Source organism: Homo sapiens, chromosome 9, assembly GCF_000001405.40.
Source record: "Homo sapiens chromosome 9, GRCh38.p14 Primary Assembly".
Taxonomy (NCBI): domain Eukaryota; kingdom Metazoa; phylum Chordata; class Mammalia; order Primates; family Hominidae; genus Homo; species Homo sapiens.
The window spans coordinates 117,190,238-117,216,992 of NC_000009.12; the positions used below are offsets into that span (position 1 = coordinate 117,190,238).

Consider the following 26,755-nt stretch of genomic DNA (forward strand, 5'->3'; position numbering starts at 1 on the left):
TTTCTATGTGAAATTTTCCAATTTATATATATTAACAACTGAATTCAAAAATATACCCTGTAGGCAAGCAAAAACAAAACAAAACAAAACATTATGTAGGGGCTAAATTCTGCCTGTGAGTTTCCATAGTACAATCTCTATTCTCTGCTCTCGTTAGTATCCTCGCTTCTGAGTTGCAACTCTATGTCCAAATCACTCCTTCTCAGTTTGGCCCTAACTGTTTACCACCTTTGCAAAAATTCATTCCCCCATTTTCCAATGGCTTTTCATGTCACTCACAGGAAGAGTCAGTGTCCCTTTCTATCAGGCTCTACATGACTTTCTTACCACTGCTCCTATAACCCAATTTATTCTAGTGCTCTCTCTCTCAATGCTACTCCTCCCTATTCCTCTAGTGCTCCAATCACACTGGTGCCAGGGACCTTTATACCTGCTGTTCCCTCTGCCCAAAAAGCTGTTTCCTCAAATATTCAAATGGCTTGCCTCTTCATCTCCTGTAGATCAGTTTTCATGTGTTATCTGATCATTAAGACCTTTCCTGAGGGCCCTAATTCCCTCCTTTGTTTTCTTTCTCCCCCATTGCAATTATTATCATTCATTATTATATATCTAATATATACATATATTTTGTTCATTTGCTTATAGTCTTTCTGTGCTAGAAAGAAACTGCTATAGAAATTGACTTGCATATATCTTATTTATTGCTTTATCTTCAGTGCCTTAAATAGTTCCTGACACACAGTAGGTACTTAATTAAAGCTTGTTGAATTAATGAATGAAAAATAGATGAATAAATGTTACCTTATTTAACAAATGTGTATGGAGACTTCCCAACAGATATTGAGCTAAACATGTATCAAGAACTTTAAAACATTCAGACCATTTGACCCAATAATTCCACTCCTGGGAATATACCCTGAGGAAATAACACAGAATAGTGAAAATGAATTTAAGACTAAAAATGGTTGTTGATGTTGAATACAAAATAGCAAAAAAAAAAAAAAAAAAGCTGCTAAAATGTCCATCAATAAATACATTATGAAGCAGTCATGAGATAGAATTACATGCATGTTGAAATACTTATTGTATAATATTAAATAAAAATGCAAGATAGAAAACAATAATTTTTCACTTTCAATATATAAAAGGGAAAAGACAGAAAAAATTAGTAAAAAGTTACTGTGGCTATTCAATGGGGCATACAAAAAATTGCTAATTTATACTTTACTTTCAAGTGTTCACTAATGAGCATGCATAACTTTTATAATTAAGAAATATTAGATAAAATAAGGACTGATCATACTTGTGGTAGTAGTGATGAATTTAGCTCTACAGTGGATAAAGATATCAAATCCAGAGGCAGGCTGGTTCTTTGTCAGAGGCATTGAGGTTGAGCTGTCCTGGACTTTCTTTGTCAGTCAGTTCCCCACTGGGTGAGCTCCAGCCATTTCAAGGGAGCCCAGGACAGGAGGTACAAAGTCCCCTGACTGCTGGGAAACTGCTTCAGCTCTGATCAATCAGAGAACAGTCGCTTCAGCCCCTGACATTTACCAAACCTCCTTCAACCTCATCTGTCACTATGCGGTGGTACTGCCTTGCCAGCCACAGTCTAATCAAGTCAGAATGTGCAAGGGTCCCCAGAGATAAAGAGAAAGCGGGGCTCTGAGGGAGTAGGGAGAAAGGAGAGACAGGGAGATGGAAAAGGATCATGAGGGAGGAGGGGAAGAGCAAATGTTCAGAGCATGCCCGTTTGTTTTGCTATCATGGCAATTAATGCTGGGAAGTGACATTTTAAGGGGCTCTAGTGACAGCTTTGGTGACATTCCTGTTTGTGATTCCATGACAAATCTCTGTCTATATCTTATTTTAGAGAGTGTGTAGAGACAGCTCAGAGGATGGCTATCAGGGGATGCCAAGCTCCTGTCTGTTGGAGGCATTGCTGCTGCCTGCTTTGCAGAGCCTAGGCATTTAGACACCAGGGCCAAACGTCCAAGAGGAGGCACCAGCTAAGAAACCAAAGCAAAAAAGCCGCAGAGGCAGGGTCTGGTCCAGGATGGCCTTGTGAACTCCACCATGTGGTACAATTAATTGGAGCAAAAAATGAATGCTCTGCCATTCTACAAGTGACATTTGGTTTGTCAATCAGTGGCAAAGAAAAAAAAGAAAACTCAATTCTGAATACTTTCCAGGCTGGCTAGTTCTAAGGAGCCTATTTTCAAACACAGATATTGCCTCCTTGTTTTCTAAGAAGTCCTAAGATGAAAATTAAATAGAAATAAATTAAGCTCAAATTTTACAAGCTGAGAATTAGAAGAGATTACTTAAATTGTGTCTGATCTCTCCCCATGCTATACCATTTTGACAAATGTCTACCTAGTCTTGTTTGAATACTTCCAAAGAGTAGTTCATGATCTTTCAGATTAAGAGGGGGAGAGCAATGTAGATATAACAAGTTGTTTACCAAATAATATTCAGGATGTCACAGGGATAAATACAGTGTGGCAAAACAAAGAGAGTACTGAACTTGAACTTAAGGGATGTGGGTATAAAGTACAATTGCACCATCAAACTCTCTGTATTTCATGGATGAGTGACTTAATGTCTCAGAGCTGGAACAAGGTTCTGTGTCTCTCAAAAGTGTTCAATAACACACAGTTTATCATATAATGTTTATGAAGCCATTCTATAAATGTTAAAGTGCTGTATAAAATAAAGCAGCTATTACCGTTTTATACCCTTCTTAACTGTGACCTTTTAGGGAAAGACTATTCCCTATTTTGCTATGTATGTCTACATTAAACAGTCTTCAGCACACAGTGGGTGATGGTAAACATTTGTTAAAGAAATGAATATGAATGAATGAACAAATGAATGGTGAGGAAGAGGTGTACCCAAAGAGAAGAATCAGGAAGTAAATGCAATCCTGTCTCCCCCTGTGGCTGTGGAGATGGCTAATGAAGGAACAGAGGACACAGGACAGAACTATGAGCCTTCAGGACATTTAAAATGCAAAATTCAAACATCACTGGGAATAGGGAGAGGACAGAGGCAACATGGAGAGGAAAGAGGCAGTTTGGTATAAGGATGTCAAGGCACTTTGATGTTAAGAAAGTCATTTCTGGCTGGGCGTGGTGGCTCATGCCTGTAATCCCAGCACTCTGGGAGGCTGAGGTGGTTGGATCATGAGGTGAGGAGATCGAGACCATCCTGGCCAACATGGTGAAACCCTGTCTCTACTAAAAATACAAAAATTAGCTGGGTGTGGTGGTGCACACCTGTAATCCCAGCTACTGAGGAGGCTGAGGGAGGAGAATCACTTGAACTTGGGAGGCAGAGCTTGCAGTAAGCCAAGATGGTGCTACTACACACTCCAGCCTGGTGACACAGCCAGATTCAGTCACCAAAAAAAAAAAAAAAAAGAAAAAGAAAAGAAAATCATTTCCAAATTTTTCTTCTTTTCATCCTAGAGGGCCTATGTTTCAAAAATAATCCCACATGCAACCACTTTAAAGCAGTCTTGCTTTTGTTAAAACAATTCTGCCCATTCTATCTTCCCCTTGCCCTGCACGTGCTCCTGGCAGCACCCTCAAGGCACAGTCAAATGGGAGCTGCTGTTAGTAAGGGAGTTCCCCAGGCTCTCTGAAAACTGGCATCTGGGGCCTCAGAACAGAGTATGGCTTAAAGATGGGCAGTAATTCCCATGCAGGGAGCAGAGGGCAGGGTGTTGTTGTTGTTGTTGTTTTTCCTTTCCCCAGGGAAGATAGAGCATCGTACAGAAATAAGATAAGATCTGAGGCACAAGGCACAAGAAAGGGCAGGTTGAGCACATTTCATAAGAGCAAATGTGGAAATGATGGGCCCAGTGGCCTATAGGGTTGGGTAAAAGACACAAGTGGCTGGCCATAGAAATGGCAGGGGTAAGACCTAAAACCCTCATGTGGGCCTTGCCTGGCTCAGGTACCATTTCCAGTTCCTCCACCAACCCCTCAAACTGAAGCCCTTGAATTATCTTCATCCTTCAGATCTCTGGGAAAGAAATGTCTCCTGCAAGCCACCTCAGATCCAGTTGTCATGCACCTGTTCCCACTGTGGCCTCTGGCACTTTATTAGCTCCTCTAAGAAAGAGGTTTTTAAACTTAAGGTTATGACCCACTCTCAAACTGTGAAATCAATTCAGTGGCTCCATCAGCATTACAAAAATGCCATCAAAAGAATAGAAGCTATCAGAACATGGTCCCATGTAATGACAATGTGTATTATTTTGCAAAACTTATTTTAGAGATGTGCGCACACACATTCACACGTGAATATGTGCAGGCTCACTGTATAAAACATAGTTTTGATTATGTCTGCTGTTCAACGTTGTGGATAAACATAGCTCTAAGAGACTTAGCTTGCTGACATCTAAGCTAATGTCTTTCCTCTCCTGCTCATATAAATGGACAGGAGTAATACATGTTGTGTTATCTCCAGCACATGCTTGGACTTGGGTATCAGATAAAGCTGGGTTCAAATTCTGGTTCCATTATTTGTAGTTGTATAAATTTGAGATGATATCTAGATTTTGATAAGGATAATACATTCTTTATGAGATAGATGCAAAGATTCAACAAATCATTGACTTGAAAATGCTAAACAAGATTTGTCCAGTGCAGAGAAAAGACAAAGAACACATAGAGGTTACCAATCAGTGGAAAGACTAAAATATCCATCAGTCCATTCATTCATTCATTCATTCATTCACTCATTTATTCCTCTATCCACTGACCCAGCATATTTATTAACACCTGCTATGTGCCAGGGATTGTTTTAAGCACAGAACAAACTTGGTACTGATCTCATGGAACCTTCAGCCTACTAAGATAATTAAAATACTTAACAAATCCAAATAATAAAAAGTACTATTACAAGAACAAATAGTAAAGTTGACAGAAGACAAAAGAGAGGAACTCACATAGAGAAAAGAGGTTTGTCTGAAGAAATGAGATTTAAACTGAGATCAGAATGATGAGAGAGAGCCATCCATGCCCTGACAGATTGGGGAAGGAAAGAGGGTAGTTTTCCAGGCAAAGATAATCATGGCACATACAAAGGGCATAGGAGAAGAAGGTTAGCAAGTCTGAAGAACAGAGAAGAGGCCATTGTGTCTGGAGCATGGAGGGCAACTTTAAGTTGGGACTGTTGTGACTGGAGTGATCACAACAGAGTGGCTGCAGTGTGGAGAAGGGAGGAAGAGGATGGGATAAAAGCAGGAAGACCAATAAGTAGGTATGTGAGGATGAGGTAATTGTGGGGATGTCAGGAAGATTGATGTGGCTTGAAGAGGAATGGACGGTCATAGGGTGGGAAGCAGGGGTGAAGGCGAGGAGTCTGGAAACTTAGGCTAGAGCCTCATTGTGAAGAAGCTTGAACACCAAGATAAGACATTGAATAAGGTGTTGACTCTGAAAGAGCTCTGAAAATTCATGAAATGCTACACAAAGATGAAATTTACATGACATTCACAGGGGGTGTCAGAAGGGTGAGTTAACAAACAGCTTCTCTGTTTCTGACACCCTAGAGTGATCTATTGACACCAAACATGAGTTCCCTGCACCCTTGGGGACCACTCGAAACACTCCCAAACAATAGGATCTCCCTGCTGCAAAGTTCCTTCTGCCAATTTAGGAGCTCAGAATTACTGTGTAACAGCTTCCTTCTTCAGGGAACACATGTTGATTACCTATTTTTTATTCCCAGATTTGTGAGTGAAGCAAGCCCATGGTTGCTGTGCATTAGCTCTCCCTAAGCTTTTAAGAGCTCATTGCCGTCCCAAGGATTACGAACCTCAGTGTGGTGTAGTGAGTTCAAATCCCAGCTCTGCATCTTACTACAATAGCTCTCATGTTGGAGTTTTCACCTGACTCAGCCATACTCCAGCTGTGTTACCTTGAGCAAGTTACTTAACCCCTCTTTGCTTTGGTCTCCTCCTCTGTACAGTAGGGATAACATTAGTACACACCTCATAGGGTTATTGTGAGGTATAAATGACACAATTCATGGCAAGTTCCCAGAAGAGTGGTAGAAATCAGCTGTTGTCAGCAGCAGCAGCAACAGTATCCTAGCCTAATCAATCCTTCCATCCATCTTCTACTCAGGATTAATTACAAATGGCTTAATGAGGTAATGTACAGGACAGCAGCTGGCTTCCCCACAGGCACTCAATAAAAGTCCCTTGTCCCTTTCTACCAACAAGCATTCCATTCAGATTTCTTGGACTGGGATCCTGAGAAATAGCAAGGTTCAGTCTACTGGTCCCATGTCCCAGAGATCACAATGCCTTCCTATCTATCACTGTCGGCCATTGCTGGTATTTAAGGGTATATCTCTCTTCTGCCTCCACCCTAGATTCTAAACTGAGGCAGGAGAGCAGAGAAAAGCTTGCATACTGCACACTTCACCAAAAGAATCATTTTTCATGGTAACTATGAGGACTGATATTTTACAAAGGAAGGCATTTGGACCAATGTTAACTGAGGGAAAAAAACAAACAAAAGAGAAAATTATGCATATAAAATGATAACAACGATATAGATAAAGACCAGAAGCACCCACTATAATATAAGAACAGTCAGTTTGATGGGGTAGTGGGTTGTTTGTGTAGATCTGTGTAGAAAAGCATACCCAGCTCCCCTTGAGAGAATAAAACAGACTTTTTAAATGGATATGCCAGCATTTATCAAACTTTCAAATGCATGTGCCTTCTGATGCTGTGATTCTGATTTTTGGTACACATCTGTCCTACAGAAATATTCTCATGCTTTACAAGAATAGCTAGCTAGGTATACGTACAAAGATGTTTGTTGACCCATCGTAAGTGCAGAAAATTAAGATAATGGTCGGATGTGAGGGCAATCTGGCTGTGACATCTGTCACCCCATTGATCACCAGGGTTGATTCAGCTGATCTGGCTGGCTAGATGGGTGTCCTCTTCCTCCCTCAATGCTCCATGTGCATCCCTCCTGAAGCTGCGTGCTCGGTTGAAGAGGATAACCATCTCTGACAGAGGATGACTGGTCTTTAGTCAAGGGTATATGAGTAGCTGCACTACCCTACCAGAACCTCTAAACAAGCTCTCAAGATAATGGTCAACAATAGAGGGTTGCAAAGTTTGATATATTTGGTATGTTCTTAGCATGTGATCCAGCAGTACAGACTTCAGTGGGAGTAAGGTAAGTATGCATGGCTGACTTGAAAAGATACTTTCTATATACATTGCTTAATAAACTATCAAATTGCTGCAGAATGATATATGTGGATGAGATAACCCCACTGACTCCATTAATATATATGTAGGTGCAAGTGTGTGTGTGTATACACAATTATATACACTGATACACACACATCCATATACATATGTATGTATGTTATGGCTATATTGGAAAATGCCAGAAGAATATAAATTAAATAAAACAATATATTAGCCTTTGGGTCCTGTCAGTGGAATAGAATGAACAGGCAAGGGTAGAACATTTAGTTGTTGCTTTATATAATACAAACTTCTTTTTTTGTCTGAAAGGTCTTTATTTCATGTTAATTATTGAAAAATATTTTGCTGGGTACAGAATTATAGATTGGTAATTTTTTTCCTATAAGCACTTTAATGATGTAATTCCATTGTTTTCTGGCTTTAATAATTGCTAATGAAAAATTAGTTGTAAGTCTAATTTTCTTCTTTGAAGGTAATGTATCTTTTTCTTCTGGCTGTTTTTAAGATTTTTTTTCTTTGTCCTTTGTTTTTTAACTGCCTGAATAAAATGTGCCTATGTAGTTTTTTTTTCCTTTATTTCTTCTAAACAAAAGGGGGGTACATACACAGAATGTGCAGGTTTGTCACATAGGTATACATGTGCCTTGGTGGTTTGCTGTACCTATTGAGTGGTCCTCTAAGTTCCCTCCCCTCACCCCCAACCCTCCAACAGGCCCTGGTGTGAGTTAGTCCTCTCTCTGTGTTCATGCATTCTCAATGTTCAACTCCCACTTATGAGTGAGAACATGTGGGGTTTGGTTTTCTCTTCCTATGTAAGTGTGCTGAGGGTGATGGCTTCCAGCTTCATCCATGTCCCTGCAAAAGACATGATCTCATTCCTTTTTATGGCTGCATAGTATTCCATGGTGTATATGTACCACATTTTCTTTTCCTTTTTTATTATACTTTAAGTTCTGGGATACAAGTGCAGAATGTGCAGGTTTGTTACATAGGTATATATGTGCCATGGTGGTTTGCTGCACCCATTACCACATTTTCTTTATCCAGTGTATCATTGATGGGCATTTGGGTTGGTTCCACAGCCTTGCTATTACAAATAGTGCTGCAATAAACATACATGTGCATGTATCTTTATAGAATGATTTATATTCCTTTGGGTATATACCCAGTAATGAGATTGCTGGGTCAAATGGTATTTCTGGTTGTAGATCCTTGAGGAATTGCCATCCTGTCTTCCACAATGGTTAAACTAACTTACATTCCCACCAGCAGTGTAAAAGCATTCCTATTTCTCCATATCTCATCAGCAACTATTGTTTCCTGACTTTTTAATAATTGCCATTCTGACTGGCATTAGATGGTATCTCATTGTGGTTTTGATTTGCATTTCTCTGATGATCAGTGATGTTGGGCTGTTTTTCATATGTTTGTTGGCTGCATAAATGTCTTTTGAGAAGTGTCTGTTCATATCCTTTGCCCATTTTTTGACAGGGTTGTTTTTTTCTTGTAAATATGTTTAACTTCCTTGTAAATTCTGGATATTATACTTTTGTCAGATGGGTAGATTACAAACATTTTCTCCCATTCTGTAGGTTGCCTGTTCATTCTAATGATAGTTTCTTTTGCTGTGCAGAAGCTCTTTAGTTTAATTAGATACCATTTGTCAATTTTGGCTTTTGTTGCAATTGCTTTTGGCATCTTCGTCATGAAGCCTTTGCCCATGCCTATATCCTGAATGGTACTGTCTAGGTTTTCTTCTAGAGTTTTTATGGTTTTGGGTTTTACATTTAAGTCTTGTTTCCATCTTGATTTAATTTTTGTATAAGGTGTAAGGAAGGGGTCCAGTTTCACTTTTCTGCATATGGCTAGCCAGCACCATTTACTGCAGAGAAGATTCTTTCCCCATTCCTTTTTTTGTCAGTTTTGTCAAAGATCAGATGGTTGTAGATGTGTGGTGTTATTTCTGAAGTCTCTGTTCTGTTCCATTGGTCTATATGTCTGTTTTGGTATCAGTACCACGCTGTTTTGGTTGCTGTAGGCTTGGAAGTAGCATAGTTTGAAGTCAGGTATTGTAATGTCTCCAGCTTTGTTCTTTTTGCTTAGGATTGTCTTGGCTACATGGGTTCTTCTTTGACTCATGTGAAATTTAAAGTAGTTTTTTTTTTCTAATTCTGTGAAGAATGTCAATGGTAGTTCGATGGGAATAGCATTGAAGCTATAAATTACTTTTGGCAGTATGGCCATTTTCATGATATTGATTCTTCCTATCTCTGAGGATGAAATGTTTTTCCATTTGTTTGTGTCCTCTCTTATTTCCTTGAGCAGTGGTTTGTAGTTCTCCTTAAAGAGGTCCTTCACATCCCTTCTTAGCTGTATTCCTAGGTATTTTATTCTCTTTGCATGGGAGTTTTATTCTTTTTGAATGGGAGTTCATTCATGATTTGGCTTTCTGCTTGCCTATTCATGTAAAGGAATGCTTGTGATTTTTGCACATTGACTTTGTATCCTGAGACTTTGCTGACATTGCTTATCAGTTCAAGAAGTTTTGGGGCTGAGATGATGGAGTTTTCTTTTTTTTATTATTATTATTTTTTAAATTTTATTATTATTATACTTTAAGTTTTAGGGTACATGTGCGCAATGTGCAGGTTTGTTACATATGTATACATGTGCCATGTTGGTGTGCTTCACCCATTAACTCGTCATTTAGCATTAGATATAACTCCTAATGCTATCCCTCCCCCCTCCCCCTACCCAACAACAGTCCCCGGTGTGTGATGTTCGATGGGGTTTTCTAAATATAAAATTATGTCATCTGCAAACAGAGACAACTTGACTTCTTCTCTTCCTATCTGAATACCCTTTATTTCTTTCTCTTGCCTGATTGTCCTGGCCAGAACTTATAATACTATGTTAAATAGGAGTGGTGAGAGAGGGCATCCTTGCCTTCTACTGGTTTTCAAAGGGAATGCTTCCAGCTTTTCCCATTCAATATGATATTGGCTGTGGGTTTGTCATAAATACCTGTTATTATTTTGACATATGTTCCATCAATATCTAGTTTATTGAGAGTTTTTAACATGAAGGGATGTTGAATTTTATCAAAGGCCTTTTCTGCATCTATTGAGATAATCATGTGGTTTTTGTCTTTAGTTCTGTTTATGTAATAGATTACATTTATTAATTTTCATATGTTGAACCATCCTTGCATCTCAGGGATGAAGCCGACTTAATCATGGTGGATAAGTTTTTTGACGTGCTGCTGGATTCAGTTCACCAGTATTTTATTGAGGATTTTTGCATCGATGTTCATCAGGGATATTGGCCTGAAGTTTTCTTTCTTTGTTGTGTCTCTTCCCAGTTTTGGTATCAGGATGATACTGGCTTCATAAAATGAGTTAGGAAGGAGTCCCTCCTTTTCAATTGTTTGGAATAGTTTCAGAAGGAATGGTACCAGCTCCTCTTTGTATTTCTGATAGAATTCAGCTATGAAACCATCTGGTCCTGGGCTTTTTTTTTTTTTTTTTTTGGTTGGTTGGTTATTAATTACTGCCTCAATTTCAGAGCTTGTTATTGGTCTATTCTGGGATTCAACTTCTTCCTGGTATAGTCTTTGTAGGGTGTATGCATCCAGGAATTTATTCATTTCTTCTAGATTTTCTAGTTTATTTCCATAGAGGTATTTATGGTATTCTCTGACAGTAGTTTGTATTTATATGGGGTCAGTGGTGATATCCTCTTTATCATTTTTTATTGTGTCTATTTGATTCTTCTCTCTGTTCTTCATTAGTCTAGCTAGCAGTCTATCTATTTTGTTAATTTTTTCAAAAAACCAGCCTCTGGATTCGTTCAGTTTTTGGAGGGTTTTTCATGTCTCTATCTCCTTCAATTCTTCTCTGATTTTAGTTTGCTCTTGGCTCTCTAGCTCTTTTAATTGTGATGTTAGGGTGTCAATCTGAGATCTTTCTAGCTTTCTGATGTGGGCATTTAGTGCTATAAATTTCTCTCTTAACACTGCTTTAGCTGTGTCCCAGAGATTCTGGTATGTTGTCTTTTTGTTCTCATTGGTTTCAAAGAACTTCTTGATTTCTGCCTTAATTTCATTATTTATCCAGGAGTCATTCAGGAGCAGGTTGTTCAATTTCCATGAAAATGTGTGGTTTTGAGTGAGTTTCTTAATCCTGAGTTCTAATTTGATTGCACTGTGGTGAGAGAGACTGTTTGTTATGATTTCAGTTCTTTTGCATTTGCTGAGGAGTGTTTTACTTTCAATAATGTGGTTGATTTTAGAATAAGTGTCATGTGGCACTGAGAAGAATGTATATTCTGCTGATTTGGGGTACAGAATTCTGTAGACGTCTACTAGGTCCACTTGATCCAGAGCTGAGTTCAAGTCCTGAATATCCTTGTTAATTTTCTGTCTCGTTGATCTGTCTAATACTAACAGTGGGGTGTTAAATTCTCCCACTATTATTGTGTGGGAGTCTAAGTCTCATCATAGGTCTCTAAGAACTTGTTTTATGAATCTGGGTGCTCCTGTATTGGGTGCATATATATTCAGAATAGTTAGCTCTTCTTGTTGAATTCTTCCTGTTACCATTATGTAATGCCCTTCCTTGTCTTTTTTGATCTTTGTTGGTTTAAAGTCTGTTTTGTCAGAGAGTAGGATTGCAATCCCTGCCTTTTTTTGTTTTCCATTTGCTTGGTAAATCTTCCTCCATCCCTTTATTTTAAGCCTGTGTGTGTCTTTGAACATGAGATGGGTCTCCTGAATATAGTACACTGATGGGTCTTGACTCCTCAACCAATTTGCCAGCCTGTGTCTTTTAATTGGGGCATTTAGTCCATTTATATTTAGAGTTAGTATCGTTATGTGTGAATTTGATCCTGTCGTCATAATGCTATTTGGTTATTTTGCACAGTAGTTGATGCAGTTTCTTCATATTGTCATCGGTCTTCATATTTTGGTGTATTTTTGCAGTGCCTGGTACGAGTTTTTCCTTTCATATTTAGTGCTTCTTTCAGGAGCTGTTGCAGGGCAGGCCTGGTGGTAATGAAATCCCACAGCATTTGCTTGTCTGGAAAAGATTTTCTTTGTCCTTTGCTTATGAAGCTTAGTTTGGCTAGATATGAAATTCTGGGTTGAAAATTCTTTAAGAATGTTGAATATTGGCCCCCAATCTCTTCTGGCTTGTAGAGTTTCTGCTGAGAGGCCCACTGTTATTCTGATGGGCTTCCCTTTGTAGGTGACCTGGCCTTTCTCTCTGGCTGCCCTTAACAGTTTTTCCTTCATTCCAACTTGGAAAATCTGATGATTATGTGTCTTGGGGTTGATCTTCTCGTGGAGCATCTTAATCATGTTCTCCGTATTTCCTGAATTTGCATGCTAGCATGTCTTGCTAGGTTGGGGAAGTTCTCCTGAATATATATCCTGAGGTGTCTTTTCCAGCTTCTTTCCATTTTTCCTGTCTCCTTCTGGTACTCCAATCAATTGTAGGTTTGGTCTTTTTATGAAGTACCACATTTCGTGCAGGCTTTGTTAATTCTTTTTTGTTCTTTTATCTCTATTCTTGTCTGCATGTCTTATTTCAGTAAGGTTGTCATCAAACTCTGATATCCTTTCTTCTGCTTGGTTGATTTGGCTGTTGATACTTGTGTATAATTCACTAAGTTCTTATGCTATGTTTTTCAGCTCCATCAGGTCATTTATCTTCTTCTCTAAACTGGTTACTCTAGTTAGCAATTCCTCTAACCTCTTCTCAAGATTCTTAGCTTCTTTGCATTGTGTTAGAACATGCTCCTTTAGCTCATCATGGTTTTTTATTACCCATCTTCTGAAGCCTACTCTGTCAATTCATCCATTTGATCCTCTGTCCAGTTCTAGGCCCTTGATAGACAGATGTGGTGATCATGTTGAGGAGAAGAGGCGCTCTGCTCTTTTGGGTTTTTAGCATTTTTTCATTGATTATTTCTCATCTTCATGAGTTTGTCTAGTTTTAGTCTTTGAGGCTGCTGACCCTTGGATGGGGTTTTTGTGGGGGCCTTTGTTGTTGTTGTTGTTGTTGTGGATGATGCTGTTGTTGCTTTCTGCTTGTTTGTTTTTCTTTCAATAGTCAGGTCCTTCTTCCGTAGAGCTGCTGCAGTTTGCTGGGAGTTCACTTCAGGCCCCATTCATCTGATTCACTCCTGTGCCTGGAGATGTCACTCAAGGAGTCTGGAGAGCAGCAAAGATGGATGCCTGTTCCTACCTCTGGGACCTCTGACCTTGAGAGGCACCAACCTGATGCCAGTAGGTTCGCTCCTGCATAGGGTATCTGACAACCCCTGTTGGAGGGCCTCATCCAGTTGGATGGCATGGAGAGAAGGGCTCATTTAATGAAGCACTTTGTGCCTTGGTGGAGAGGGTGTGTTTTTCTGAGGGGAAACCCACTGTTCTGGGCTGCCCGGATTCATCAGAACTACCAGAAGGAGAGGCTAAGTCTGCTGGTCCACAGAGAATGTGGCCACCACACTCCCCAGGGGTTCAGGTCCAGGGAGATCTGAATTCTGTCCCAGAGCCTCTGGCTGGAGTTATTGGAGATCCTACAGGGAAGCCCCACCCACTGAGGAAGGATGGGTCAGGGTTACACCTGAACAGGCACTGTGGCCGCCTACTGCCATTGCCGGTGTGTTGGGCTGTGGGGACAAGTCTTGGGACCAAGCTGTGTAGCCTCCCTGGCTCCACAAAAATTTTTGTGTATTTTTGGATTTTTAGTAGAGACAGGGTTTTTCCATTTCGGCCAGGCTGGTCTGGAACTCCTGGCCTCATGTGATCCACCTGCCTCAGCCTCCCAAAGGCTGAGATTACAGGCATGAGCCACTGTCCCTGGCTGCCTTGATTTATCTTGATTGATCAACTGATGGATCAATCACTTAGCCAACAGGCATTTTCAGAGTGCCTACTATGAAGTGTTAGCCACTATGCTGGATGCTACAAAAACAAAGATAAAGGACACTGTACTCTCTCTCAAAGATCTCTAAGTCTAGCTTAGCAGACAGAAAGAGAAACTGATTATTTTTGTACAGTGTGGGAAGTGGTCAGTTCAAAGTAATCACAACCAGCTTTAAGAGCTGGAAGAGGGAGTAGATTACTCATTTGGGTTGGGTTGAGGAAGATAACTGATGTAGAAACTGATTAGGGGCTAGGAAAACTCCTCCAGCATTTGGAGTTCATTTATCATTGGATACCCACAGCAAATCTATGACCTGGGAAGACTGGCTGTTAAAAAAAACCAAACAAACAACAACAAAAAGAAAATAAAAGCATTTTCCATATAAGGACAGCAATGCTCAATGAGTTATGCTGCAAAAGCCAAAACTAAAATATATAGGAAGATGTTTTCTGCCTTATCTAAGTGATTTTCTTTTAGACAAAGGAAGCATGATGTTTTGGCCTGCTGGTATTACTGCCAAATGAACATCCTTACCCTTTCAAGGCCATATTTATTGTCTGACCTTCACTGGGCACTGTCTATGTGGGAGGCACTGTGCTGGGCATTGCAGGATACAGAGAAATAAAATAAATGCAGACTGTCCTTGTTGTAAGATGAGAAATCACATGAAAATGATAAATAACATTTGAGAAGGCAAACAAATGGGGGTAGTGACAATAAACCAGCAGTTCAAACACAGAAGAGCCTATGATGGACAAGGGGAATATTCAAAGCATTCCAGAGCAGTGAGCATATCATGGTGGCTAGAGCTTGAAGGAAAGCTGGAGATAAATATTACAGCTGGATTTGAGAGAATCTCAGAAGTCCAGCTAAAACTGAAGGACTGAGGTCTACACATACACATCTTGGGGTTCAAGACTTACCACGTGCCAAGTCATGGGGTAGGTATTTTACACATCTTTTATTTTTATATCTAATCCTCCCATTAACCCTTCAAGGAGGAAACTGAAGCCAAGAGTGTTACATTCCCAGTTTCCCAAGATCACACTATAAGTAAATGGGACAAGATTTGAACCCAGGTCCAGATGACTTCAAAATCTATACTCTCATCTACATTATCACTCTACTTTCTCCCTGAGTTTCTAGGATTGAAAAAAAAACCTACTTTTTAAAAAGCCCCCCGACTTTTTCTGTTTGTCCACTGAGCATCAAGGAAAGATGGGCCTCAGAGGAGAATCTCAGGAGTAGAAAAGAAGAATGCAGAACCCAGAGCTCCAGGGAAGGGGCCAAACTAAAAAATAAGGCTTTCTTTAGGCTCTCAAAAGTAGCGGTCGGTGTCTGAACCGGGATCTCCAGCCCAAAGCTTTCACCCGTTATCATCATCAGCCTCACAAGGAATGAAGAGATAAAGAAGAACTGTGCCTTTGTTGCATTTGTCTAAAGGAAAATAGCTAAATTCCATCTGTAAACAAGCTCAACGATAGACAGTAAAGGCAAATGTAAACACATCCTGTGCTTATGTCCAAATAATCAATTGTCCCCAAACAAAACAAAGGAAATGGGTCTTTGCAACAACATATGTGAAAAGGAGCAAGAGGTATTAGTCATCAAAAAGTCCAATGTGAGGGGAGTGATGTCAGCAAGATGCATGATAAGAGACACCTGGCATTTATATTCCAACAAGAAAGGACCAAAGCAATGAATAAACAGCTAGGATTTGACCTGAGTGTCGTCGAAGGCAGAGCACCGAAATGCAGCAGAAGAGTGGAGAAGCATCTGTGGTGACAGGAAGTCCATGAGGGCAATGTAGAGTCACCCAGCCTCTGAAGCACCATCCCCCTGGCCTGGATTAGATTTGCCTAGAGTCAGGAGAAACTTCTCACTGTGGGGAAAAGATAAGCAGAAGATCTCTATCCGACCCCATTGCTACCACAAACACCTACAGTCCCTACTACAGGAGAATTCCACAGTCCTCACAAGCCCTGAGCCCAGTTTAAAGAGCCACCAAGAATTTATACAGCTGCACTGTCCTGGATTAGAAGCACAGCATGTGTACTTCTCACTTCCACCCACCATGTGAGCCAAGTTGCTGCAGCACGGTACACACCTCATGAGTGTGCCCTGCTTTGGGGGCCAATAGCCATGGCACCTCTCCAGCAATGGGGCTCCATCTTCATTACCCCAAGCCCACACGGGTGGCTGAATGTCACAAGCCCAGCTTTACAGAGCTTGGGCCTAAAACTGGCTGTGACTCTTGTCCTACAGAGCAGAGAAACCAACCCCCACTACCCTACTTCCAGCCAGAGAAACAGTATAACGGTCCCACCCACAGCTATCCTGCCTTGAGCCAGCCAAACCACTGCTCACCCACCCTCAAGTGGGAGAAGCCTCTGAGCCTCCAAGCAGCTGATATAACTCCAGGGCAGCAGAATGGCTGCATGCCTATGCACAGGACCTGAGAACTGGCTCCAGAGTGCCCCCACCCACTACAGATATATCCCTGGCCTGCCTAATAGTTCTACGCCCCCTAAAAGAGCATGAGAAACTGTCCCACAGGACAGCCCTGGTGGGCATACCACCAGAACAGCCAAGCAGCCAACAGCCCATGTCCTGAACCTGAACAGCCCCATCAGCCACTCCTTGTGGACATTCCCTAGGCTGGCCAGGCAGCTGCGCACCTACATACCAGGCATGAAACAGCCCTGCAGGCTGCTCCTGGTGGGCACACACCTGAGCCAGCCAAGCAGCCTTGTACTTATATTCCAGACCTGAGAAACAGCCCCTTGGGCAGATATGCCCACAGGTTGGATGAGCAGCTATATGGCCATGTCCCAGGTCCAAAAGAGTCCTGTGGGCCACCACCCACAGAAACGCCCCAAACCAGCCAAGCAACTGTGCAGTTATATCGTGGGCCTGACAAACAGCCCTGTACCCACCCATGGTAGCCATGCCCACCCAGGCTGTTCAGGCCACTGCATGCCCATGTCTCAAGCTGGAGAAATGGCCCTGTGGGTTGTCCCCCTCAGACACATTTTCAGGCCAGCCAAGCAGCCATACACCCACATAGCAGGCCTAAGAAACTGTTTCAAAGGCAGCTCCTGGCAGATACACACCTAGACCAACTGAGCAAACTTATGCCCATGTCCCAGGCCTAAGAAACATCCCTATGAGCTGCCCCTGGTAGAAATATCCCCAGGCCAGCTGAAAAGCTATACTCCCACATTCTGAGCCTGAGAAACATCCCTTTGAGCAGCTCCTGGCAGGTACGCCCCCAGGCCAGCTGAGATACCACGTGCCCTTGCTCCTGGCCAGAGGAACAGCCCCATGGCCCTAATATCAGGGAATCAGACCCCAAGCTGCATGAACATCCCCCTGTTCTGAGAAATAGCCCAGTGAGCCCAATCCTGGCAAAGCTGCACCACCATCACCACAAACTCTCTCAGCCTAGGTCACTGAGTATCTTACAAATGTCACTAATGTAAAATTGTAGCCAATTTAACTACATAGAAACTCTAGTATTGCATCTAACTAAAATCCAGGACAGCACAACACACCAAACTAACACCTCAAGACCAAGTTATACAAATAAGTCTTTCCTTATGAAACCTACTCAATAAAATCAGAAGTAATAATTTTTCTACCACATGCTAAGAAATCAACATAGGGACACATCAAACATGAAAAATCAAGGAAACATGTCACTGTAAAAGGAAAACAATAATTTGCTAGCAGCAGACCCTGATCATAATAAAATACATGAACTGCCAAAAAAATTAAATAATAATTTTAAATAAACTCAGTGAGGTATAAGAGAAGAAAGATAGTCAATTTAACTATATCAAGAAAATGATTCATGATTTACATGATACATTCAACAAAGAGATAGATACCATAAAAAAGAACCAAACAGGAACAAAGAGCTAAAGAATTCAATGAAGAAAGTAAACATATGAATCAAGAGCTTCAACAATAGACTAGGGCAAGCAGAAAAAAAAATCTAAACTTGAAGACAGATATTTTGAAATAACACAAGGAGTCAAAAAGAAAAGAAAAGAAAGAATAAATAATACAAAAAAAAGAAAGCCTCAAGTAAGTGAAAAATATTCATATTAGGGGTGTTTCAGAAGAACAAGTGAAAAGGTGATGAAAATATATTTAATGAAATAATAGCAAAAAAATATTCCAACGTCTTGGGAGAGAGATGGACATCAAGGTCCAGGAAACCAGATAGGTTAAACCCAAACAGATCTTCTTCAAGGCATCTTACAGTCAAGTTGTTGAAAGTCAATGACAAAAAAAATAAATAAACAAAATCAGCAAGAGAAAAAAGTCAGGTCACATAAAAGGGAATTTTCATTAAAGTAACAGTGGATTTCTCAGCCAGGAGAGAATGAGATGACATATTCCAAGCCCTGCAAGGAAATAACTGTCAGTCAGGAATACTGTACCTAGCAAAGTTATCCTTCAGAAATGAAGAAGAAATAAAATCTGTTACAGGCATATGGAAACTAATGGAATTCATCAGCACTAGGCTGGCTTTACAAGAAATGCTCAGTGAAGTCTTACAACTGGAAGTGAAAAGATAACAACTATGATCATGAAAATATGCAAAACTATACAACTCACTGGTAGAGCCAATATATTTTTTGAAAGAGAAAGGAATCAAACCTTATCACTACAGAAAACCACCCAACTGCAAAAATAATAAGAGAGAAAGTAAGAAACAAAGAATACACAAAACAACCAGAAAACACTCAGTGAAACACTGATTAGTTCCCACCTATCAACAATAACAATTATTATAAATGAACTAAATTCCCCATTAAGAATATATAAACAGGACAAAAGGATGAAAAAATAAGACAAAACTATATACTGCCTATTAGGAAATTCACTTTTCCTGTAAAGACAAACATAGAATGAAAGTGAAGGAACGGAAAAATATACTAAATGCAAATGTAAGCCAAAAGTGAGAACAAGTAGCTGGAATTATATCAGACTAAACAGGCTTCAATTCAATGCTGTAAAAATAGACAATGAAGGATATTATATGATAATAAAGAGATCAATACAGCAAGAGAATATAACAATTGTAAATATATTTACACTAAACACCAGAACATCCTGATACATAAAGTAAATATTACTAGATCTAAAGGGAGAGACAGACTCCAGTAAAATAATAATTGGGGACCTCAACATTTTATTCTCAGTATTGGACAGATCATCTAGACAGAAAGTCAACAAAGAAAGATCATATTTAAACTTCACTATAGACCAAATGGATGTGATAGACAATTACATAATATTTCACCCAGCAGCTGCAAAGGGCAAGATTCTTTTCATCAGCACATGGGACATTCTCCAGGATTAGCCATACGTTAGAGCACAAAACAAATCTCAGAAAATTTTAAAACACTGAAATTGTATCAAATATCTTATCTGACCACAGTGGAATAAAACTAGATATCAATGACAACAGGAATATTCATAACTATACAAATACAAGGAGATTAAATAAGATGCTCCTGAATGACCAATGAGTGAAGGAAGAAATTAAGAATAAAATTTGAAAATTCCTTGAAACAAATGAAAACAGAAACACAGCATACCAAAATCCATGGAACACAGCAAAAGCAGTATTAAGAGGCAAATTTATAGTAATAAATGCTTATATCAAAGAACTAGAAAGATTTCAAATCAATAACCTATTAATGCACCTCAAGGATATAGGAAAGCAAGAAGAAATCAAACCCCAAATTAGTAGAATGAAAGAAATAGATCAGAGCAAAAATAAGCAAAAAGACTAAAAGGAACAAAAGATCAATAAAACACAAAGTTGTTTTTTAAAAGATAAACAAAATTGATGAACTAATAGCTAGACAAACTAAGATAAAAGGAGAGAACACTCACATAAATAAAATCGGAAATGAAAAGGGAGACATCACAATGGATATCACAGAAATACAAAATGATACAAATAAATACAAAGTCAAAGGCTATTATGAACAGCTATAGGTCAATAAATTTGAAAACAGAGAAAATGGATAAATTTCTGGACACACAGAACTCAACAAAATTGAACCACAAAGAAATGGAAAACCTTAACAGACCAAAACAAGTAATGAGACTGAGTCAATAATAAAAAGCCTTCCAACAAAGAAAAGTACAGGACCAGATGGCTTCACCACTCAATTCTGCTGAATGTATAAAGAAGAATTAATAACAATTCTCCCAAAACTATTTCAAAACATTGAAGCAGAGGGAATTCTTTCTAATTCATTCTACAAGACATGCATCACCCTGATACTAAAACCAAACAAGGACACACACACAAAAAGAAAACTACAGGTCAATATCCCTGATGAAAATATATGCAAAAATCCTCAAAGTACTAAAAAACTGAATCCAACATGTCAAAAAGATAATACACCATGATCAAGTGGTATTTATCCCAGGTATGCAAGGATAATATATGCAAATCAATAAACATATTTCACATCAATAGAATGAAGGACAATCAATAGAATGATGGAAAAAAAACCATATGATCATCTCAAAGCAAAAAAAAAAAAAGCTTTTGAAATTTTAAATATCTCCTCGTGATAAAAACTCTTAATAAATTAGTCACAGAAAGAAAATACCTCAACATAATAAAGGCCATATATGACAAATCCACAGCTAACATCTTACCAAACAAGACAAAAATGTCCACTCTAATCATTCTTGTCAAACACAATACTAGATTTCCTAGCCAGAGCAATTAGGCAACAGAAAGAAATGACAAACATCCAAATTGGAAAGGAGGAAGTCAAATTCTCTTATCTTATTCCCAGAAAAACCTAAAGAGTCTACCTAAACGTCTTAGAAATGTGATATGGTTTGGCTCTGTGTCTTCACCCAAATCTCATGTTCAATTATAATCCCCAAGGTTGGGGGAGAGAACTGGTGGTGGGAGGTGACTGGGTCATGGGGGTAGATTTCCCTTTTGCTGTTATTGGGATAGTGAGTGAGTTCTCACGAGATCTGTTTGTTTAAAAGTGTTTAGCACTTCTCCCATTGCTCTCTCTCTCTCCTGCTGTGCCATGTGAAGAAGGTGCTTGCTTCCCTGTCGCTCTTTTGCCATTACTGTAAGTTTCCTGAGGCCTCCCCAACCGTGCCTCCTGTATAGCTGTGAAATTGTGAGTCAATTAAACCTCTTTTCTTTATAAATTACCCAGTCTCAGGTAGTTCTTTATAGCAGTGTGAGAACAGACTAATAACTAACTGATAAAAAAATTCGGAAAAGTTCTAGGATGCAAAATCAACATATAAAAATTAGAAGCACTTCTATACATAAACAAACTAGCTGAAAAAGAAACCAAGAAGGAAATCCCATCTACAACAGCTATAAAACAATACAATAAAATACATAGAAATCAATGTAACCAAAGAGGTAAAAGATCTCTACAAGAAAAATATAAAACATTGATGAAAGAAATTGAAGAGGATACAAAAAAATGAAAAGACCTCCCATGCTCATGCAATCTTGAGAAAAAAATAACAAAATTGGAAGTATCACACTTTCAGACCTCAAAATATACTACAAAGCTGTAGTAACCAAAGTTACTGCAAAGTAAATGCAGTATGGTACTGGCATAAAAACAGACACATACATAGATGAATGTAACAGAATAGAGAACCCAGAAATTTATTTACAGTCTACTGACTTTTTACAAAGGTGCCAAGAACGCTTAGTAGGGAAATGGCAGTCTCTCCAGTAAATCATGCTGAGAAAACTGAATATGCATATGCAGAAGAATGAAATTAGACCCCCACTTTTACCCAATAAAAAATTAATTTACAATGAATCAAAGACCTAAATGTAAGACCCGAAATGATAAACATATTAGAAGAAAACAGGGGAAACACTTCAAGACATTGGTCTGAAAAAAGATTTTGTAAGTAAGACCTTAAAAGCACAGGCAAAGAAAAAAAAAGCAAAAGTAGACAAGATTATATGTCAAACTAAAAAGCTCCTGCACAGCAAAGGAAACAACAGAATGAAAACACAACCTACAGAATGGGAGAAAATATTCATAAAATATTTATCCAATAGGGAATTAATATCCAGAATATACAAGAGACTCAAACATTCCAACAGCAAAAACAAAAAACAAAAAAACAAAAAACAAAAAAACCCTCCAATCTAATAAAAAAGTGGACAAATTGTTCTGAATAGAAATTTCTCAAAAGACATACAAGTGACCAACAAATATACGAAAACATGCTCCTTATTAGTAATTATCAGGTAAATGCAAATCAAAAACTGCAATGAGGTATAATCTCATCTCAGTTAGAATGGCTATTATAAAAAAGTCAAAAATAACAAATGCTGGTGAGAATGCGGAGAAAAGAAAACTCATACACTGTCATGCGAATGTAAACTAGTACAGTCACTATATAGAACAGTTTGGAAGGTCCTCTAAAAACTACAAAAAGAACTACCATATATCTAGCAATCCCATGACTTGGTATTTATCCAAATTAAAGGAAATCAGCTTATTGAAGATACATCTGCACCTGCATGCTTACTGCAGGATTATCCACAATAGTCAAGATATGGAATCAACCTAGGTGTCCAACAACAGATGACTAGATAAAGAAAAGGTGGTATGTATACACAATGGAATACATTCAGCCATAAATAAGAATGAAATCCTTTCATTTATGGCGACCTTGATGGAACTGAAGAACATTATATTAAGCAAAATAAGACAGGAATGGAAAGTTAAATGTCACATATTCTTATTCACATGTGGAAGCTGAAAATAATTGACCTCATAGAAGTAAAAGAATGCTCGAGGCTGCTAGTAGGATACAGAGGATATTAGAAGCTGGGAAAGGTAGGAGGGAGACAGGAATAGGGAGAAATTTATTAAAGGAAATAAAATTACAGCTAGATAGGTGTAATAATTTCTAGTGTCCTATACCACTTAAAGATTACTTATTAATGTAATACATAGTTTCAAATAACTAGGAGCTTATTGAACATTCCCAATGCAAAGAAATGATCAATGTTTAAGATGATTGATATACTAATTACCCTGATCTGATCACCATATATCATATGGATCAAAATATCACTATGTACTCCATAAATATGTACGAACATTATTTGTCAATATAAAAAAACATAAAAGAAGTCTAATATGAGCCAGCAATAACTGTAACAAACAAATGGGATCTCAAGCTGCATCAATAGAAGTATAACAGTTGGCAAGAAGGAGACAAAAATCCCATTTTTCTCAGCCCTGGATCATTCCTGCCTTGAGGAAGAAGAGTGTCAGTTTGGGTGTTATGGCCCAGGATGTGAAAAATTAGAATTTCTGTCTAGACGGCAGTGACCAGGAAGGTGAAATGTCTGAAAAATGCTTTATATGAGACTATTTAGAGAAACTGGGGTGTTTAGGTTGTTTAAAATGTACAGTCTCTTTTATTTGTGTTGTCAAATTTCCCAAGAGCTGCTGCCTTGGAAAAAGAATATCAGATCACTTTCCTTTTGGACATGGGGGACCGTGAACACAGATTTCAAGTTGGTATAAGAAGAAACCCTCTAATAGTCAGTAATTGTGTGGAAATGAGATGGCCTCTTTTCCGAGTAGTGAGAAAGCTGTCAAAGGAGGTAATCAAGAGACACTGGAAAGATGTTGGACTGCATAGCCTCTGAGGCTCCTCACAACTCCAATTCTGGGAGTACTGACACTCTTTTATTCTCTCATCACTACTGAAGAATCAGAGAAGACAAACTTGATAACCCAACAGAAATCTAAAGCCATAAATCCAAAGTGGCTTATCCCAGAAAACACTGCCTGTAGTCCCCAACTGCCCAGCTTCTGCACCTCTTCCCATCTTTTCAAAATGCCCCCTGGAAAATGGGCTGTGACATGGAGGACTCACCTTTCTTCTCAAAGTCCACCTTCTCTTCCCCTGGATGTCCCAGACTGTCCAGAGTGTGGGTCACCTGGCTGCCAAACTCGTCCTCGCGGGAGACATGGTTGGCCCGCCTAGGTGGCTCCTCATCCTCCTCACAGTCATAGTCATCCAGGATGGGAGTCTCCCGGATGGGCACGCCAATGACGGAATTGTGGGTTTGCAGCCGGGATGAACGGAAGCTCTCCCGCGCCTGGGGACCCAGCAGCACAGATGGGATGTAGTGGATCTCATGAGTGGCTTCTGTGCTTGCGCTCTTCTGGGGGATGCGGCGACGCTTCTGCCAACGTCGCTGGGCGTACAGCGCCACGGTGAACACCAGCAGCAGCAGCAGCAGCGCGATGAGGCCACCCTGGAGCAGGAAGGAAGGACACACAAATGGGCCACTGTTCTTTGGAATCGAGGGCTGCAGGGGATTTTCCTGTCCACTACACTCTGCCAGGATCCCTGGGTTTGGCTCATAGAGCCTCAGGAACCACCAGCCGTGGTTTTTAAGCTAGAGAGACATTGTTTCAAACCTGGCTTTTTCACCAACAAACTATGTGACCCTAGGCAAACTTCTTCACTTCTCTGAGCCTTGCTTTCCATAGTTATAAAGGTTGAGTAGGAATCCCTGCTCTTCCTTCTTCACAAGGTTGCCATAGGAAGCAAATCAGATGGATAACGGTCATGTCAGAGCAATACAGATAGCTCAGTGGCAGGAAGGGTCAGTGCTGCGGCTTCACACAGGTGAATGTCTGAATCTAGACTCCATCTCCCACCAGCTGAGCATCCCAAGGACAGTTGCCTACGCTCCCCCAGCCTTGCTTCCTCATCTCTAGAATGAGTTAACTGAAAGATCATGAGACAGTAGTAGGCTGTCTTACATCTTGCTGCAAATATAAGATAGCATTATTAAATCAAACATAATGTCTGCATAGTCTGTATTTTCTTCATTTTTCAGAAACACCAGTCTTTAAATTTCTGAATTTCTATAAGGGAACTGGGACAAAGTAGGTCCTTAACAAATATTTGGTAAATGAGTGAATGAAAATGTACCTTTCTAGGGCTCCTTTAATAAGAATTTCAAGGTCAACTGATATATATATATATAATGTGTATATATATACATTTTTTTCTTTGATACACTCAGCTCCTAAATATTTGAGTCTGCATTATCCTACATTAATTTGAAATAAGCTAATGTGTTAATGCACATATCTTACATGATTCATGAAATACTCTGGTCTGTAAGATCCTTCAGGGCAGAGGTATTTTCAAAACACGTCTGTAATCCCCATAACACCTGTCATGAGCTTGAAGTTGAGGGTTTGCATTCTCCAGGCCTCCCCTCAATTGTTCTGTGCCAGAAACCTCTCCTCTGATGGGTAGGCCCTCATCACTTCTCTTGCTTTTCTTCACTTTATACTCTGCTTCATGTTTGGGAGATTGGAAGACACTTTGCTGAATGCCTGCTGTGTAATCCCTAGAGTCAGGAGGAATCACCCTTGTTGTATACAGGGTAGAGAGAGGCTTCAAAAAATCAAGAGACCCAGAAACTCAGAGAGCAAGTGGCAGAGTAATATCTGAGCCTTACTTTTTGTGTGTTTATTTTGTTTGTTTTTGCTTTTTAACTCTAGAGCCTATATTCTTTCAATCCACCTGTGTGGTTGATGGCTTCTCCTTGGCTATGATCTCATTGAAGGCAAGGACAAATTCTGACAACTATCTGTACAGCATCTAACAAAGATGACAGATGTTAGCTGTGAATACATTATCTTAGGGGCAAAGGTGGCTGCTGTTAAACACACCTGTTTAGACCAAGAAGAACACTGTTTGCTGAAATGGGTCAGCCATCCTGCTGACTGTATTTGATATTAGAAAACTGGCATGTTCTATTTGCAAGACCCTCAGCTCACTATGCTGAAATTCAGCACCTCCACAGAGGTAGGGGGACTGGGTGGATAAGAGGACTAAGAGGTGGTGGCCAGGTATGCAGGTGTGGCTGATAGCTCTGTAGCAGGGGCCCAAGCCCTGCCTTGAGTTCAGCAGTGAGCTACTTTGGTTTCCCCAAGAAAGTTTCTCTGGATGTCATAACATAAAAACAAATGCACAAATCAAGCAAAGCTATAAGTACGTGTATTTATGTGTGTATTTGTGTGTGTGTGTTTGTGTGTGTGTAGAATCTATTAAATATATGTGTAAATGCATGTGTATACCAGAGGTGATTATGTATATATCACCTTAAAAAACAACAATGAATCTTTTTTTTCCTCTACAGAACATATGATAGTGATTGCTTTGTGTCACAAAATTATGTGTGACATGATATTATTTGTCTGGGATTTTTTTGTGTTTCAGAAATAAGAAAAGAAGGAGAGGGAGGGAGTGAGGAAGAGTGAAGAGGAGAGAGGTGATAGAGAGGGAGAGTGAAGAGAGGAAAGGGCTGGGGGCAACACTAATCCTTGATAAACACAAGGGCTGACCCTCTCCTTAACACCTTTACTGAATGTTTTTTTATTTAATCTTTAAGACAAGACTATGTGACAGAAATTAGTTTATGCTGTATAGATGAGGAAAAGGTAACTCAGAGAAGTAAGTAACTAGCTTGAAGTCACACAGT

The 26,755-nt window shown here is 39.6% G+C and overlaps 1 protein-coding gene and 1 pseudogene across 3 annotated transcripts in view; one reads left to right on the forward strand and one right to left on the reverse strand.

Annotated features, from left to right (window-relative positions):
* Positions 1–26,755, reverse strand: part of ASTN2 (astrotactin 2) — a 991,946-nt gene that overhangs the window by 767,126 nt on the left and 198,065 nt on the right. For all 3 annotated transcript variants that reach the window (NM_014010.5, NM_001365069.1, NM_001365068.1), the window contains exon 3: positions 24,121–24,505. In NM_014010.5, the coding sequence (NP_054729.3) occupies positions 24,121–24,505 (385 nt within the window). The remainder of the gene's footprint in view (positions 1–24,120; positions 24,506–26,755) is intronic.
* RN7SKP128 (RN7SK pseudogene 128) lies at positions 6,881–7,183 on the forward strand (annotated as a pseudogene).